General features: G+C 41.8%; 1 protein-coding gene across 7 annotated transcripts in view, besides 2 other annotated features; it reads right to left on the bottom strand.

Moving 5' to 3' along the window:
* VSTM2A (V-set and transmembrane domain containing 2A) overlaps positions 1-10,856 on the bottom strand; it is a 28,693-nt gene extending 17,837 nt beyond the window's left edge. For 5 of the 7 annotated variants that reach the window (XM_006715665.4, XM_006715666.4, NM_182546.4 and 2 more), the window contains exons 1-4: positions 10,422-10,856; positions 8,443-8,609; positions 6,234-6,284; positions 3,061-3,397 (exon numbers count right to left, since the gene is read on the bottom strand). In XM_006715665.4, the coding sequence (XP_006715728.1) occupies positions 3,061-3,397; positions 6,234-6,284; positions 8,443-8,609; positions 10,422-10,500 (634 nt within the window). In that variant the 5' untranslated portion in view covers positions 10,501-10,856. Of the gene's footprint in view, positions 1-695; positions 3,398-6,233; positions 6,285-7,014; positions 7,071-8,442; positions 8,610-10,421 lie in introns of those variants that run through there. The other 2 variants (NM_001317843.2, NR_133927.2) reach the window with 2 other exon arrangements.
* Positions 7,912-8,424: an enhancer, noted in NCBI's record as "H3K4me1 hESC enhancer chr7:54612500-54613012 (GRCh37/hg19 assembly coordinates)". NCBI's record gives its function as "activates a minimal SCP1, AML or CMV promoter by ChIP-STARR-seq in naive H9 embryonic stem cells {active_cell/tissue: H9 hESC(naive)}" and the evidence as "EXISTENCE:reporter gene assay evidence [ECO:0000049][PMID:30033119]".
* Positions 10,718-11,218: an enhancer, noted in NCBI's record as "H3K4me1 hESC enhancer chr7:54609706-54610206 (GRCh37/hg19 assembly coordinates)". NCBI's record gives its function as "activates a minimal SCP1, AML or CMV promoter by ChIP-STARR-seq in naive H9 embryonic stem cells {active_cell/tissue: H9 hESC(naive)}" and the evidence as "EXISTENCE:reporter gene assay evidence [ECO:0000049][PMID:30033119]".

The raw sequence follows: 16,077 nt of genomic DNA, 5'->3' as shown, positions 1-16,077 counted from the left end.
TTTTAAGTGGGAGGGGAAAGTCACATGCTCAAAAACTTTTGGAAAATATCTGGAAAAGGTATGGGACTAGCCGTATTAAATAACAGTTAGCTTTATCTTGTGATAGGCAGATGGTCATAGACTATCTTTTCCATCTTCTTCTATTCATGTAAATCTCTGCTCTAGAAAAACTGGTTAAATTAATTGTATGAAAATTTGAAGATTTTATATAAAATTATTTTCAGCTAATATGTTTTCCTTCATTTAAAAACAGAAATTCTTTGAAAGAAAAATAGTATCAATTAAGAGGTGAGTGTTTCAGTTTAAATAATTTAGTCAACTAAGTCAAAGATTATGATGAAAATAAAGGGCCAAACGGGCCAGCTTTTGTGACAGAGATGACAGTGTCCCATATACCATAGATGAAGGATGCCTCTTTGTATCAAACAATAAAAGATAAAAGGCTAGTACAATATAGCTATTGGCTTCCAAGAGCAAGATTTTGATTTTTGTGCTTTCACCACATCTTGCCTTTCATAGAATAATGAAATAAAGATGGATGATAAATGGAATGTACAAATATTTTGTTTTCTTGCAAACTAAAATACAAACTCCTTGAGGAGAAGAAGTGTGTCTTCCATGTTTGTGTCCCTGTGCCTGGTATGTGAGTTCCTAGGAGGGATGGAAGGTGAATAAATGAATGAATAAATGAAGCATGGGTATTGAAATAAGCTTTATTTGAATATAATCTGAAAATCGTGAGGCAAAAATCATAAATCAGGATGTGGGTATTACAGTGAATATAATATATAAATATCCACCCCAGATACTGAATCATATATAATAATTGTGCAAGTATAGGAACTTACACATAAGTAAAGTGAGTGACTGGACTGCCCCAGCTTCTGAAATCGAAATTAGAAAATGTTGATAGAAGTATATAAAAATATTATCCAGTATTCACTGGTTGGAAATATTGAAATTAAATATTTTCAGATATTTCAAGTTACTCTTTGATATAAGCAGATATGTTTAGTGAACAGGACTTTTAATGAATATAGACTTCATGAGTCACTTTTTTCTCTCCTTCTACCTTTAACTCTAGAAAAAGCAATTTTGAATCTGACAGCAAGGCTGGCAATGGGATGCAAAAAGAGCAGTAATTTTTATTTGATAATTGTTAGAAGAGATCTAGAGTTTATCATTTAGCACTAATCACAGCGCTAAGAGATATTAAAATAAAATAAATAGATATTTTGAGATTGCATTATTAAACCCCAAAAGCTAAGAAAACATTCTAGAAATAGATAAAGCATTTCATTCTACCCTTGGAATTCTTCACTTGGAATAGGTAATCTGTTTGATTTTATTCTGCCGAACAGATTGATGACATCTAACTTGGAACAGTCTATGTAGGATAATAATAATTTCACTTCCATGATTTGGAGTTCTTGCTAATTAGGTTGTAAATTGTCTGCTTAGGCTACTCTGTAATCTTGCCTGTAGTGTCTAACTTCTTTTATGATAATGTGAAGAAAGAGGGGAAAATCACTCCAAAGACATTAAATCTTCCTCAAATAATAGTCACAAAGTTGTAACCATCATTTGGTTACCATTACAATTTAGCATATACCTGTGTGTTTAGTGTGTATGGATACACACATATATGTTCCAGCTATACTAGTTTGTCCTTTAATTTGGTAAGCAGAAAAGATTATAAAGAAAAAAATTAGACAAATCCACACACATTGGGCTTCAGAGAGGCTAAGCCATCTGTTCATCAGACTGACATAAATTGCAATGACCAAGGCATGCCAGGAGAGTTGCTCATCTACATTATAAGGCAGGGCAAACTCAGAGAACCCTAATCCAAGTGCCCTACAAATCTGCAAATCACATCCATTAGGAAGTAAAGCATTAAGAGAAAACCTATTTTGGCATACAGTATTTTAAAAACATTTAAAAGCATTGTTCACAAGCAAGGACTTAAAGATACATACCTATATGTATTTCTACATGTATATATATATTTGATATATATAAAGTCTATATTTGATTAGGATGATTTCTGAGATGTGTGTGTGTGTGCGTGTGTGTGTGTGTGTGTGTGTATTCAGGACGATATGAGATGAGATCTCAGAAATCATCCTGGTGAAGTAATCAGACTTTTTAATTTAATGGCTGAAGAGACCTTAAATATTAGCAATGTAATTTTCCATTACTGATGGTAGCATCAATACTTCTTTAGGGAAAAACCTAAAGAAGGATAAAGTCAGTATGTTTGTGCTCCCTTCATCCCATGTCACGTGTTTGAGGAAATCGGGACGGCCGCGGGGTTGTGCAGGGTACTGCTCATTCCACGAAGCCTTTATCCCACATCAAGGTTAAAACTTCCACGCATTTCCATTGGCTGAATGACTGCATACATTAATGCCATTCAGAACAGCTTTAACTTGCACAGCTGCCTTCAGAATCCTGTGACTAAGCTTCTAAATTGGCCTGGAAGGCAAATTCACAGAGGAGTTGCCTTATCTCTGCACCACTTACAGTCTTCAATCCCCCCTCCATCCTTCCATTATCATCATCACAGGCAGCTGAGGTTTCTCCTTCAAAATCAAAAGCCCTTGGAGAATAGTCCTGCTTAGAGCTATGGGTCGCTGAAAATGCATGATATGGCATGTCTCTCTCATTTACATTTTGATTAAGTGAAAGCCTCTTAATTTGGGTCATTATCGATACATAAATCTGTAGAGAAAATGAACATGCATTTGTAATGTAACCAACATTACATGATTTATTGTTCTTATAATGTGTAAATACAGAAAGGATAAAAACCAGAGTCCAGCTCTCAGATGCCCTGGAAATGAAGCACCACTAGGGGACTGACGGGGTGCACCCACATGCTTTGAGCTCTGAGTGAATTGGTGCAGGCTCGGTGCTCACCTCTCATAATCACTTGCACTGAACTAGGTCTCCGATTTTAAAAATCACCATTCATAAATCTGTCTACTCTATACGACTGACCTTTCTGTGGAGCGTTTGTGAGTGGTAAAATAAAAGGCTCGAAATGGGTTTCCATACCTGATTGTGGACTTTGTTTGGGGATTTTGGCTACCACTTGAGGGCTGGAGGTGGAGTGCGTTCGTTGGTTGGCAGAGCCATGGATGCTGCTGGGGATGGCTGCGGAGACGTTCTTGCGGGGCTTCATATCCTGCAGCCACATGGGCGAGGCTTCGAAGGCCTGCATTCTGCGGGCATGGCTGTTGGCATTGACTTTCAGATAGGCCTGGGCCTTGTGTTCCTGAAGCTCCCCGTAGTTGGCATCAGTCACCCTGCACTCATATAAGCCTTCATCCTTTTTCCTCACTTTGGAAATCTGAAGCTTGTGGGAGATGTCATTGCCTTGGACTTTCACTGTCTGAAAAATTGCAGGTAAAAAAAACAATAAAGTGCTACATCAAATGATTTTGTTCCATTTTTTACCCTGAGCTTGCTAATATTGGAAAGTTAAAGGGTCTTAATGGCCCCATAGCCATAGTGAAGGAGCTTTTTATTTCCTTAACGTCACATCTGAAGGCCTTGGCTATCCTATTCCACCAACCACTGCACTTGCAGACTCAGGAGATAATTAGTTCAATGCAGCCAGTGCCAGATTCTGTCAGCCACGTGCCCCCCATTGTCTACATGCCAGTAGCAGCTCCGTCATTTTTCCATCATGGGATTGGCCTCTGCCTGCTTAACTCAGTTCAATGAAGCACAAACCAATAAGGCCAACTCTATAGGTGAAACAACCTCTTTTCTTCCCTGTGGGCTATAAACTAAGCCCCTCAACTCTGAGACATCACAAAAATATTTTGTTGGTCATGAGTTTGAGTGAGAATGCACTTGTATCCCCACACTGGGATGACTACTAAAGGTGCTATTAATGAACTTGGATATTAATATTTTTCTTCTTAAATTTTAGATGCAGTCTTGCCTCTAGTCATAGGGTGGCATGGCTTGGGGTACAGCTTCATATCACCTGAAGTCTTGTTGCTCAAAGTATGTATCCCATGCCATTATAGGGACTTTATACTACAGGGACTTGGGATGCCATCGATAAAACACTGGCTTGATTTTCAAAATTGAAATTGGCTTATTTATTTCTTCTAATAAGTTTTATTCCAGATTAATAGCAAGATCATATATCTGATATATATATTAGATATATGATTTTATATTATATATCCTATATTATATATATAAGCATCTTTATCAGAACAGTTAGGTTTAATACATAATCATATGTTCTTCATAACTGAGACAATGATAGGGTTCATAAGACATTTGGGATTCAAGAATTTGGTTCATTTTGAAAGATACAGAAAAGAAATGAAGGAGGCCGAAAGTTATTTTTTCTGCTAATGGCCACTACACTTTCAAACGGCCATAAATTACTAGGAAAACCTGAGAAGCACTCATCTGCTTTTACATATAGAGGTATATATACAAATAATTTCCAACATTTGAACCCTATGGGTTTATGTGTATATAAAATTACATATAAATATACTAATACTATAAAAATGAAGTGAATACTTCCACATTTATTCTGGGTTAAATCTCCTAACAAAGTTTGAGGTAGCTAGAGTATTTATATTATTATCCCATTTTATAGTTGAGTAAACTGAGGCTTGGGGTGTTTGGGTCAGTGATTTTCAACACTGAGTGTACATTAGAATCACCTGGGGTGCTATTAAAAATACTGGCATGTGGAGTAATGCAGAAATATTAAGTCTGCATCTCTGGAAGGTGGAGCTTATATCATCAGTATTTTATAACAACTCTCCTGGGAATTCAAAGTTAATAACTAGTGGTTGAGAAAATATGTTCAAGGTCACACAGTGGGTAAACAGGGAACAAACTACTTTCTGCCTCAGTTTGTGTCTAAAACTCTCTTCTACTCATTAACTTTTATGCATTATTGGCATAGGTAATACTATCAACAGTTGTGTGTGTAATCATGTTTCTCAATGTATGCATCAGGGGTCAGGATGTATGAAGACTATTTTTGTTACTGGCCTTTAGATGATAGGGGGACGGGTGAAGGGTGAAGGAAGAATAGTCACCAAGCAATCTATCTAGTTATATATGTATGTGAAAAATAAAATAATTAAGAAAAAACTAGATTTTACCAATAAAGCTTTTCTAATATTGTAGGAAAACAACAGTTTCTGTGATATAAGAATAATTGAAGTATTCTAAAAAGTCAGTAATTTTATGAGTTTTAAATCAGAGTTTATGGTTGATATTTCATCTTTGTCATTTTTTCTTCCATGTTGAGATTACACATTTAGATCACAGAACTAGATTCTGTGTACAATATATTTGTACATTTTTAGTTATGATGTAACTCCAATCTTCTACCACTTTACGCTATTGTAAGAGCCTTAAAATACATTTTCTTTTAAAATGTAGGTCATTGGGATTTTAGATTTCTAAAAACAAATAATAACAATATGTTTATGCTTAACAGATTTCCTCCTTTTGTATTACATACCTATTTCGTTTCTATTTAAAAAATGAAGCAGTATTATTAATATTAACTGATGCTATGCGGCTCATTTGAGGTATAGTAAAAAAATAAGACTTTCACTTTTTAAATTTTACACACACTTATTAAAAGTAATAAGCAAGAGAGTGGAACTATAAGTTTACATTTTCAATAGGTCAAGCTCCTATAATAATGGTTTTACATTTATATTGGCTTTTGGCATTATATTTATATATTCTTAATAACAGCACTGGAAATACATTCCATGCATTAAAGTGACATTCAAAATTTAGTTGCTTAATTTCATCACAATTTCAGTATCCTGTTGGATGCTTTATATTTTTCTCCCTAAAAATATTTTCCTATGTTACTGTTTTACTTTCTACTAAAATATAATTGTTTCCATAATTTTGAATAGATATTAGCAATGTATTTACTCTTACTGTTAGGTAAGTTACAAAAAGCAAGGAAAGAAAGTGTCACACAACCTCTCTGGATAGCAAACGATTCTCTAGAATGTTTAGACATTTACGTGACTAAAATATGTAATTTTATTTAGGGACTCTAAATGTGCTTCCATTTGTATGTATCTAATGAGGCAAGCAAGGGGCACCCGGCTGTCCGGCTGTCCTGCAGCGCTGGCAAGCCGCCTTCTCGGGGACAGGGAAGGGCTGTGCGTCCCGAGCCTGGGCCCGCGGCCCTTGGCGCGCCCCGCACTCACGCTGATCTTGGTCCCGTCGCTGTCCGGGTCTCTGTCGGGCAAGAGCTCCACCTGCGGGCAAGGAGCGAACGCTCAGTCCCGCGCCAGGCCCGCCCGACCACCCGCTCCCACGCGAGCATAGCCTTCGCGGCTCCGGGCAGGGCCGTCAGGGTGACCTGGGGACAGGGGAGCGACCAGGGGCGTGGCCACCCCTGTCCAGGCCCAGACCGCACCGCCCCCACGCTGTCCCTGGCATACCCCACGCTGTCCCTGGCATACCCCACGCCGTCCCCGCGCTTTCCCCGGGGCTGTCCCGGGGCTGTCCCGGCGCTGTCCCGGCGCTGTCCCTGCCGCGCGGATGCTGCGCTCTGGAGGCGGGGCCGGGAGCCGCCGGGTCTTTTTCGCGGGTTGACCCGTGCGGACGCGCGCCCGGAGGTGGGTGGGCGGGCGGGCAGGCGGGGGGGCGCCAGGGGTGAGGCGGGCGGGCGCCAGGGGTGGGGCGGCCGGCGTGAGTGAAGGTGAAGTGCTCCGGGACGAATTTTCGCGCCTTTGTTCCGGCCACCATCCCGCCTGCCGTCCCGCCCCGCGCTCCTGGCCCCAGATTCTCTTGCTGGCTCGCAGGGGCGCCGCCTCTCGCTCAACTAGGTCTCCCTCGCCCGGACCCCCTTCCCCTCTCCCCTCCTCCCGCTATTTTCCTTTTCCTCATCTCCTCCTTTCTCCCTCTCCTTCCCCACCTCACCACCCTCTCTCCTGTCTCTTCCCAAGTCACCCTCCGTCCCCTCCACACTCCCCATTCCCCTACTTCCTTCTCTCCTCGCTTCCTCTCTTCTCTCCTTTTCCTTCCCTTCTCCACTCTCCTTCTCTCCTCTCCCTGCCTCTTCTCTACTCCTCTCTCCCTCTCTTCCTTTCCCTCCCTCTCCCTTCCCTCTCCCTCCGTCTCTCCTTTTCCTCTCCTTCCCTCTCTCCCTTCTGTGCCCTCTCTCCCCCATGTCTCTCCTGCTCCTTCTCTTCCTCCCCCCTTCCCCCCTCATTCTCTCTCCTCTCCCACCCCTTCCCCCTCATTCTCTCTGCTCTCCCACCCCCTTCCCCCCTCTTACCTCTCTCCCTCTCTCCCCATTCTTTCTCCCTCTACCCTTCTCCTTCTCTGCTTCCCACTCCAATTCTCCCTCTCTTCCTTCCCCCTCCCCTTCTCTCTGTCCCTCTCGCCCCCTCCCTCCTTTTCCCCTACCCTCTCTCCTTCTCTTCTCCTTTCTCTCTCCCTGCCCTCTCTTTCCCTTCCCTCTCTCCCTTTTTCCCCTTCCCTCTCTCTCTTTCCCTTCCCTCTCTCCCTTTTTCCCCCTTCCCTCTCTCTTTCCCCTTCACTGTCTCTTCCCGTCTCCCCCTTCCCTCTTTCCCAGCCCCTTCCCCCTCCCCGTCCCTCTCTCCCTCTCTCCCCCTTCTTTCTCCCTCTCCCCCTCTTCTTCTCCCCTCCCCACTCCAATTCTCCCTTCCCTCCTTCCCTTCTCTCTGTCCCTCTCCTCACTCCCTCTCTCCCTCTTTTCCCCTTCCCTCTCTCCTTCTCTTCTACCTTCTTTCTCCCTCCCTTCTCTTTCCCTTCCGTCTCTCCCCTTTTTCCCCCTTCCCTCTCTCCGTCTCTTTCTCCTTCTCTGTGCCTCTCCCGGTCTCCCCCTTTCTTCTCTCCTTCTCTCCCTCCTCCATTTCCCCCCTTTCCTTCTCTCTCCCTCTCTCCCCGACACCCCACATATCTGTTAGAAGTGGAGGTGAGAGGAGCTGGCCGCCCTGGTTCTCTGGTTGTTCAGCCTGGGGGCTGCGGTCCCAGATGGTGCCTGGTGCCCCGAGAAGGGAGAGGGGGTGGGGTGGGGGGTGGAGGCCGCCCACCGATTCCCCTCCCCCTCCTTTCGTCCTGGAAAGGGGCTCCCGGATGTCCCGGGATGTGGCAGCGTGGTAGGGGCAAGGCGGGCATCTGCCTAAGTACCAGAACTTACAGGAGGAGGCGCTTCCCGGTTTAACAGGAAGAAACTGGGCAGCAGGACTTCCTTCTGGGTTTTAACTTCGCGTCCCCAGGACAAATTCCCTTTCCCTCCCTAGAAGCCCTGGGGGTCACTCGCTTCCACAGAACCGGGCAGGTCCCCAGGGGTGTCCAGGCAGCACCTCGGCCCCCAGCCCCGGGCCGGACACCCTGAGGACCGGGCGAGCGAAGGGGAGACGCGGGGTCGGCGGGCTCCGCTACCTGCGCGCCGGCCCCCTCGGCCCCGGGATCCAGGTCCTCCGGCCCCCGCAGGAACCACCATTGGATCTCCAGATACACCGAGGCGGAGCCGCTCTGGAAGGCGCAGGACATCTCCACATTCTGCCCCTCGGTCGCCGTCACGTTCCGCGGAAACTCGGTAAATTTTGCTGCAAAACAGAAAGGCATCCTGTTGGAATATCCACACCCCTCTTGCCTGAGTCTCTTTCCTTGAGAGCTCGCTACATTTTTCCTGGACTTAAATAGCAACAAAACCCCTCTCTTACATCCTCGGCTTCGTCTGGTTCCCCCAGCCCCCTTCCTTTGCCTCTTTCCTGTCTAACTTTTGGTATCATACCTAAATCACTATGTTGTTGATCAAATCCAGATAATGGAAAGGTTAACAAGCTTGCCAATAACTCTTAGCCAAGATCCCCGCAGGTAGATCCAAATACCTTTTGTCAGATTGCAGTATTCCACAACATTTACTGAGAGAGTCAGTGAGATACAATTTAGGCAATCTGTCAAGTTGATAAATGAGGAGAGTCTCTTGCCTCTAAGTTTCTAAACAATCTACCACTAACTGGATGTTTCATGTAACAGAGTAGATCATGATTATCTGTCAAAATGCACATTCCTGATACATCAAAACGGTTATTAGCAACACCAGTGAAACACGCCTGCAGCAGTGAAACAAGTTGCACACTTTATAAACTGTATATGTTTCCTTCTCTCCAAATTAACCTTTATTTGTTCCCATCAAGTCACTGTATTTTGAATTGCCATACATCTTAAGATGTAATGATCACACATCCAGGCTTAGTTCAGATTAAATATTATTTAGAAGTCACTATGGAGATGTTTCTCAGCCTTTTCATTACCAACCTTGACACTGCTAGTTTGCAAGATTCATGCAACCCTGGTGAAACTCACAAAAATATAATGTTTCCTTCCTCCTAAAGGCATTTCTTGAACATGCAATGCTCTTATCTTGTTACCAACGTGGTTGTTCTTATCTTATCTAAGGGGCACTTTGCAAAGAGCTGATGGTTCCCTAAAAGCAGTCCTGGGAAGATTTGTATGGCCAGTGGAAATGCACAACCACAATGCACACTTATGGAGAAGAGGGCCATGGGGAATGCAGAAATGATTTGGGGTGGATGCACTCCTCCCCCCACCCCTCACCTCACCCCCGGTTTAAAGAGAGACACTGTCTCTTTTCAACATTTTATGAAATCCCAAAAATGATCTCTAGTGAAATGAAACTATATTTGTACCTAAAACAGGGAAGCTATTAAGGAGACATTCTGATCGGAAAAGGGCTTTTCTATTCTAGCTGGCAGAAGGAGTATGGCATTTCTGCTTGCAGAAGTGATGCAGTCTTTTGGCACCAGAGATGTGATCTGTTCATGGTGCTGAAACGACCACTGCAGCCTACGAAGTCCTGAACAATCGGGTTCAGCAGGCTGCTGCTGCTTGTCATGCAAGTTGTGGCTTTTTATGGGTCCTCAGAGGAGTCTGTCCTTTGATAAACACACATACAAAAGGAGTCACACGGACCTACAAAAGGGAAACTCTAAGCCCAGTCTGACTACACAAGGAAGAGGGACTGGCAATGGAGAGTCCCAGTATCCAGCCCTGTGTTTGTTTGCGATGATTATGTATGCATGAGTGGCTACCCTGTGCATGCACACAGATAGAAAGCACACACACACCCACACACACACACCACACGACCCTGTGTTTGTGCTCACCGAGGAGCCCACCTCATTGTCAGGCACCAGCTAGATTTTCTCTCCAGCCTAGCTAGTCTACAGTTTAATAAACTTTAAAAAAAATCGTCAAACAGAACACTATTTATACAGCCTAAGCCCACTGTTACTTGCTAGGAAGCTTATTCTATCTGCCTGTCCATTCTTTTTGAGTGTAGGAAACACACACACACGCAAGCAAATGTATATTTGCCATTGAGCAAGACTTACCTTGAGAAGAAAGCCCTTGTTGTACATATAAAACGGAAAAGAAAACAAATCCAACATACACCAAAAAGATCCCCATCATTCCAAAAAGGGAGGGGGGTCACATCAGTGTAGCCAACAGCCGAAAAGCCCTGAAAGAAAGGCGTGCGAGTGGATGGCAGGCTCAGTCTCAGAGCCCTGGGCGCGACACTGCAAACATCCTGCTGCTTGCTTGGCGAGGGCTGGCTGTGGGGAGAAGGGATTGCGATTCTGGAAGGTTAGAACCAGCTGGCTGGGATTCAGCGAGGCTTCCTGCGGAGCCCAGGCTGGAATCGCTGGGAAGTGTCTCGGCTGCCTGGCTGCCTGCTTTCAGCTACCTGGCAGCTCGTCCAACGTCAGCCCGCCGCTCCGGCTTGCGTGATCACTGCCCTCCCTAAACACGGAGCCGGCTCGGGAAGTGGGGAGTGGGCAAGCGGGGCGGGCTGAGGACTTCGCCGGGCTCGCGGCGCCGCAACTTTTCCCTCTAATGGCTGCGATGATGCCTTTAACTCTGTGCGCGCTGGACAGCGCCCCGCCCGGGAGCTCGCGCCGGGCGGCCGCGGAGGGCGCAGGGCTCGTCGGCGCCGCTGGGGTCTCCCTTCTGGAGAGCAGGGACGTCGGTTTTTTTCCACTTTGCTTCTCTCCCCCATCGGGTGTCTTTCTGGCTCGGCGGATCAGATCGCTCGGTGCCGAGGAGGACAATACAGTGACGGGATTGCGGCGCTGGCGGGGGGCTCGGAGCAAAAGGTTCCGGGAGGGAGTTGGGGCATTGCTGAGGACCGGGGAGCAATGGGATGGGGGAGAGACGGGTGGGCCGAGGAAAACAGCCATTTAGGGAAATGCCGCTTACCCAGTTATTAACTGCTCCAACCAGGAGCATCACATGCTACGATTTCACACGAATTTCTTGCTGAACAGCTTTCAGTACAAGCAGCTCATGCAGGAGCCATATCGCTCCAGCTGGCAGACGGAGAAGAGAAAAAGTACAAAAAGTCACGCATTGAGGGAATTTTCTGGAAAGAAAAGCCCACCATACTATGTTTACTTTTTAAAAAATTACATACCTCCTGCCTTCTTTTCCTTCATCTTCCATGTATTTTGGAGGGGGGAGGGGTTTTAAATACCGTTAAGGTCTTCATTACGTGATTTTGTTTTGTTTATTTGCTTTTCTTTTGCATAGCACAATACTTATGTAATGTTCCCTGGGACTAAGTGAATAAGGAATCTTATTTTAGACACAAAAAATCACAATAAGTTTCAGAATGTGGAACAAATCTACTTATCTGCCTTGGTGAAGATTTGAGATGTACATTCTATTTTTAATTAAGAACTGAAACAACAATGTATATTATGTTAAAGACTCTATCTGACCTTATGCAATCCAACTATTAGTGGATTTAAATTTTTTTTAACAAAATTAATAGCATTTGCCATCTAAGAAGAGCACACATTTTTTATTCCCATTATTATTTCTATGCAACTATGCCACAAATTTTCAGTATTAGTTTGAAATATGAATTAGTCTTAATAATGCTATCAGGAAGCCAATGTAGGGTATGTATTTTCATTTTACAGATAAAGAATTTGTAGTTGGCTAATGCCTTTACTAGCCAGAAAAAAAATTAACCTTAACATAGCGGTTGCATTTTAAATCACTTATCTTCTATTGCTGAATGCAGCAATAACTTAAAGCTCAGAAAACTAAAGACACAATAACGTCATCACAATATTATTTATTTTCTGAAAGTATATTTATTTTTTACTGTGAGTAGGGGCAGAATATGGGATTTGGAGACAATCATGGGAGATATTTTATATCTGTTCATGTTTAGGCCAACCAGACTCTGTATCCTCCTTGTATTTAGCAAAGGATTTTGAAGTTTATCGTTCTAAGAAAGGAAATCACTTTATGTTCAAACATTCATGGACAATGAGTTCAGAACATAGAAACATAATCCAAGTTAATACACCTGAACCATACTAAGCATTACGTGGAAAGTAAACAACAAAACCTTGCATATGCTTTAAATGTTAAGCCTAACAGGATGTTTTCAATGTGCTAACATGATTTTGGCTTTATTTCAACCTTTAGCATAAACATGGGTATAATATGTCATGGAAATGACCTGACTTCAAGGTTATCTGCTGTTAAAACAGTTCTCAATATAAAGGGCATTTATTTTAAGTAAGAGGAGTTCTAAATTAATTTAGCAAAGCATTTCAACTATTTAAAAGAAGTACTTGATCACTGTAACAATAAAAGTACAATAAAAATAAGCTTAAGAGTGTGAAAAATAAAGTGTGAGAAAGCTTTTATAGTACAAATAAGCCATTGAATTACTTTAAAATAAAGTTATAAGCGTTTAAGCTATGAAGGAAACAAAGAAGAAAGGAGGGAAGGAAAAAAAAAAGGAGAAAGATGAAATTGGAAAAGTCTTTTGTTCTCCTTATGAAAAGTGCCTGATGGGTATTTTAGTTTTACCAATGTAGACCAAAGTTTTTTCTTAAATATGTGTTATATCATCTCAAGGACTGTAAATAGTGCTAATAAACATGTATGCATTATCTTCTATAGGTCATTTGCCTTGTTAATGACAAACTGTCTCTGTGTTAACAGTTTGAAATGAGAAAATTTAATTAAGAAGTAAATATATTCAGTATATCACATGATCACAGTTCTGAGACTAGGTCCAATTCTTTATACAAGTTCTTGTAAAGCACTGTACTCTCCTACAAGATTGGAAGTAAATTATCAAGAAAGACAATTTGTCTGCATCCAGATATAAGAGAAATATTTCCTGCCCATTTCTCCTTTGCCAAAATGATTGCTGATGCCTTATCCTATAAAAATAACTGCAAATCTCTTCTTAAAAAATACCTATTGATAGTGCTCCAAAAATCAAATTCTACCATCTCACTTTTTGATTGCTTTGTTGCCCTCTTAATGAGCTTTTGGTCATTATTTTGCTTCTTAAAAATTCAGACATTTCCCCCAAAACCTAAAATAGGAATGTTTATCTGAACATGCTCTTTCCTCGGGCGTAATAAAATCTGTTGGAGATCATTCCATTGTGTTCCTTTGGCATCTTATTTAGATTATATTTGTTCATTTTTTTACATATTCAAACTTATTTAACTTACTCTTTCAAACACTGTTTCTTTGTGATGTCTGTAGGCTTCTACATAAACTTTGAGAGCAATTGATCCACCTAAGAGCTGAACTGGCAAGGGGGAGGGTCTTTATATTTTGTGGCTCTGTCCTTTTCTCCTAAGGATTTGGAGACATTTTTCCATCTTGAAGTTGAGGGAGATCACTGTATTTCACTCCCATAGGCTCATGATAGAATGGCTTTCCATATCACACTTTCAAAATTTGTCATAAGTTGAGGCTTAAGAGCCAATGTAAACTTTAAAAGTTTTTCATAAGTAACTGGAAGATACAAAATTAGATATTTCCTTTAGAAATAACTTTTAAAATAGCCATCTAAAGAATTGGAAGACAGTCCTCACTGGGTTAGATGAGCTGTTCCTGTCCATGCCCTTCGATGTGCATCCTACTGTGTTCTTGAACACTTTCTTTGGAGATGATCAAAACTGCATAAGAGAGAATATATCAGGGTACTGAGAAACATTTTCACTCACAATCTCATTCCTGGATTAAATTCTTTTCTCACTTCAGGAAATAAAAGGAAATAGTACAGAGTCTTTAAATGTTGAAGCAATATAAAAAATATCCACAAAGAAATTCTATTTCATTTGAAGAAAATAAGAGTGCAGGAGAAAGCTGCTAACTCATACTAACCAAAGATGAGCTTTTCACATTTGCTTTCCACTTAATTATACCAGTCAATGCTTTGGCCTGCTGAATGTACCAGTCTCTCCCTGTTGCAATTTCAAAGACACAGGCGAGTCTGTCATGTGATAATGATGGAAGAAGCAACATGAATAATACCTCTTTCCATATGTGTACAATGTCTTCATAGCATGTGTGAATTTCAGAATTGGAATAGAGTTTAATAAGCAATTAATACAAACCACTCATTCTACATATAAGGAACCTGCCATGACTAGTCACTTGTGTCACAGAAGCAAATCAATACTTTATTTCTTCAGCATCCTAAGATCTAAATTGCTTTAAAGGTAGGGTAAAACATTAAGTGTCTTGAGGTAAGCCAATAAAAGTTGTTTTTTACTAAGAAAAATACCACATAAAACAAAATCAATTGCACCCAAACTCTTTTCTAGACACTGATAAACAAGTCTTTTAAGATTCCAGAATCCTAGATAGTCCCCACATCTCAACACGACTTGTTGTTTTCTCAGAGCTTGTGTTTTATAAAGTAAACAATTGGTAGAGAGAGAATAACTGCTGGCCACTGGAAGTGTCAAACATTTTAAAGAGGCAGGTGACCTATGTGGACACTAACTGCCCATTACATGGCTACTGTTGATTTTAATCTTCCAGATGGCATTTCTCCTTTTATCTCTTCCTTTTTTACATGACTAAAATGTAAATTACTTACATCTGGCTTTCATTCTGTGGAAATCTATGTAACTTTGTAATTGGAGTTCACGAAGTTAGACCTCAAATTTTTCATGAGGTCATGTTATGTCATTTTAAATCGTAATATCTGGCCTAGAGGCAACATCCAGGAAAGGCAAAGGGAAGCCTCAATATCACAATCAGCTTAGATGCCCTCTACAAAACTCATGGCTACTTACATTCATTTTTTTCTCTTATGAGAAATTAAAATGGGCTCATGATCAAAACTAAGCTGTGCCTCTCAATTTCTTCATTAGCAACACAGTTAGCATCAATATTATGTGTCCATCCCTTTGTGAAAAAAATCTTCAACTAGAGGCCACCAGGTAAGAAAAGCTGAGGATGTTGTGGCTGAATCTACTGTCTCAGGAATGTTCCTTCCTTCTTCAGAATTATGCTGCGGTTAAAGCTCAGGATTTGTGATATTTAATAATTTCAATATATGTGTTTCTCATTAAAAATTCTGTTATGGATTTTTAGCGTGAATAACCAAGTAACCACCTTCCGTATCTATTTTTGTGCGGCAGATAATTATTTAGAGAAAGAAAACAAAACTATGAGAAAAGCAGCAATTTTTGATAAAGTCTAAAATTTCTAAGTTTGTCTATGGTTCTATACCTCTATTTACAGTTTGAATGAATGTAAATAATGACTTAAAACAATGCTTTTGAAAATCTTTCAAGAAACAAAACAAGTTATAAACATTTAGCTAGCCTTACATTTTTTAAGTATACACATTCTCAGTTAAAAGTGGTTTCTGGGTCAGGTGCGGTGGCTCACGCCTGTAATCTCAGCACTTTGGGAGGCCAAGGCAGGCAGATCACGAGGTCAGGAGTTCAAGACCAGTCTTCCAACATGCAGAAACCCCGTCTTTACTAAAAATACAAAAATTAGCCAGGTGTTGTGGCACATGCTTGTAATCCCAGCTACTCAGGAGGCTGAGGCAGGAGAATCGCTTGAATTCGGGAGGCTGAGGTTGCAGTGAGCTGAGAGCATGCCATTGCACTCCAGCCCAGTGACAGAGTGAGACTCCATCTCTAAAAAAAAAGTGGTTTCTGAGTTCTACCAACCTGGGGTCAAATTTCCTCTCAGTATTTA

This window comes from Homo sapiens, chromosome 7 (assembly GCF_000001405.40).
Source record: "Homo sapiens chromosome 7, GRCh38.p14 Primary Assembly".
Taxonomy (NCBI): domain Eukaryota; kingdom Metazoa; phylum Chordata; class Mammalia; order Primates; family Hominidae; genus Homo; species Homo sapiens.
Note: the sequence above shows the minus strand (reverse complement) of the source record. Positions and strands in the feature narration are given on the sequence as shown.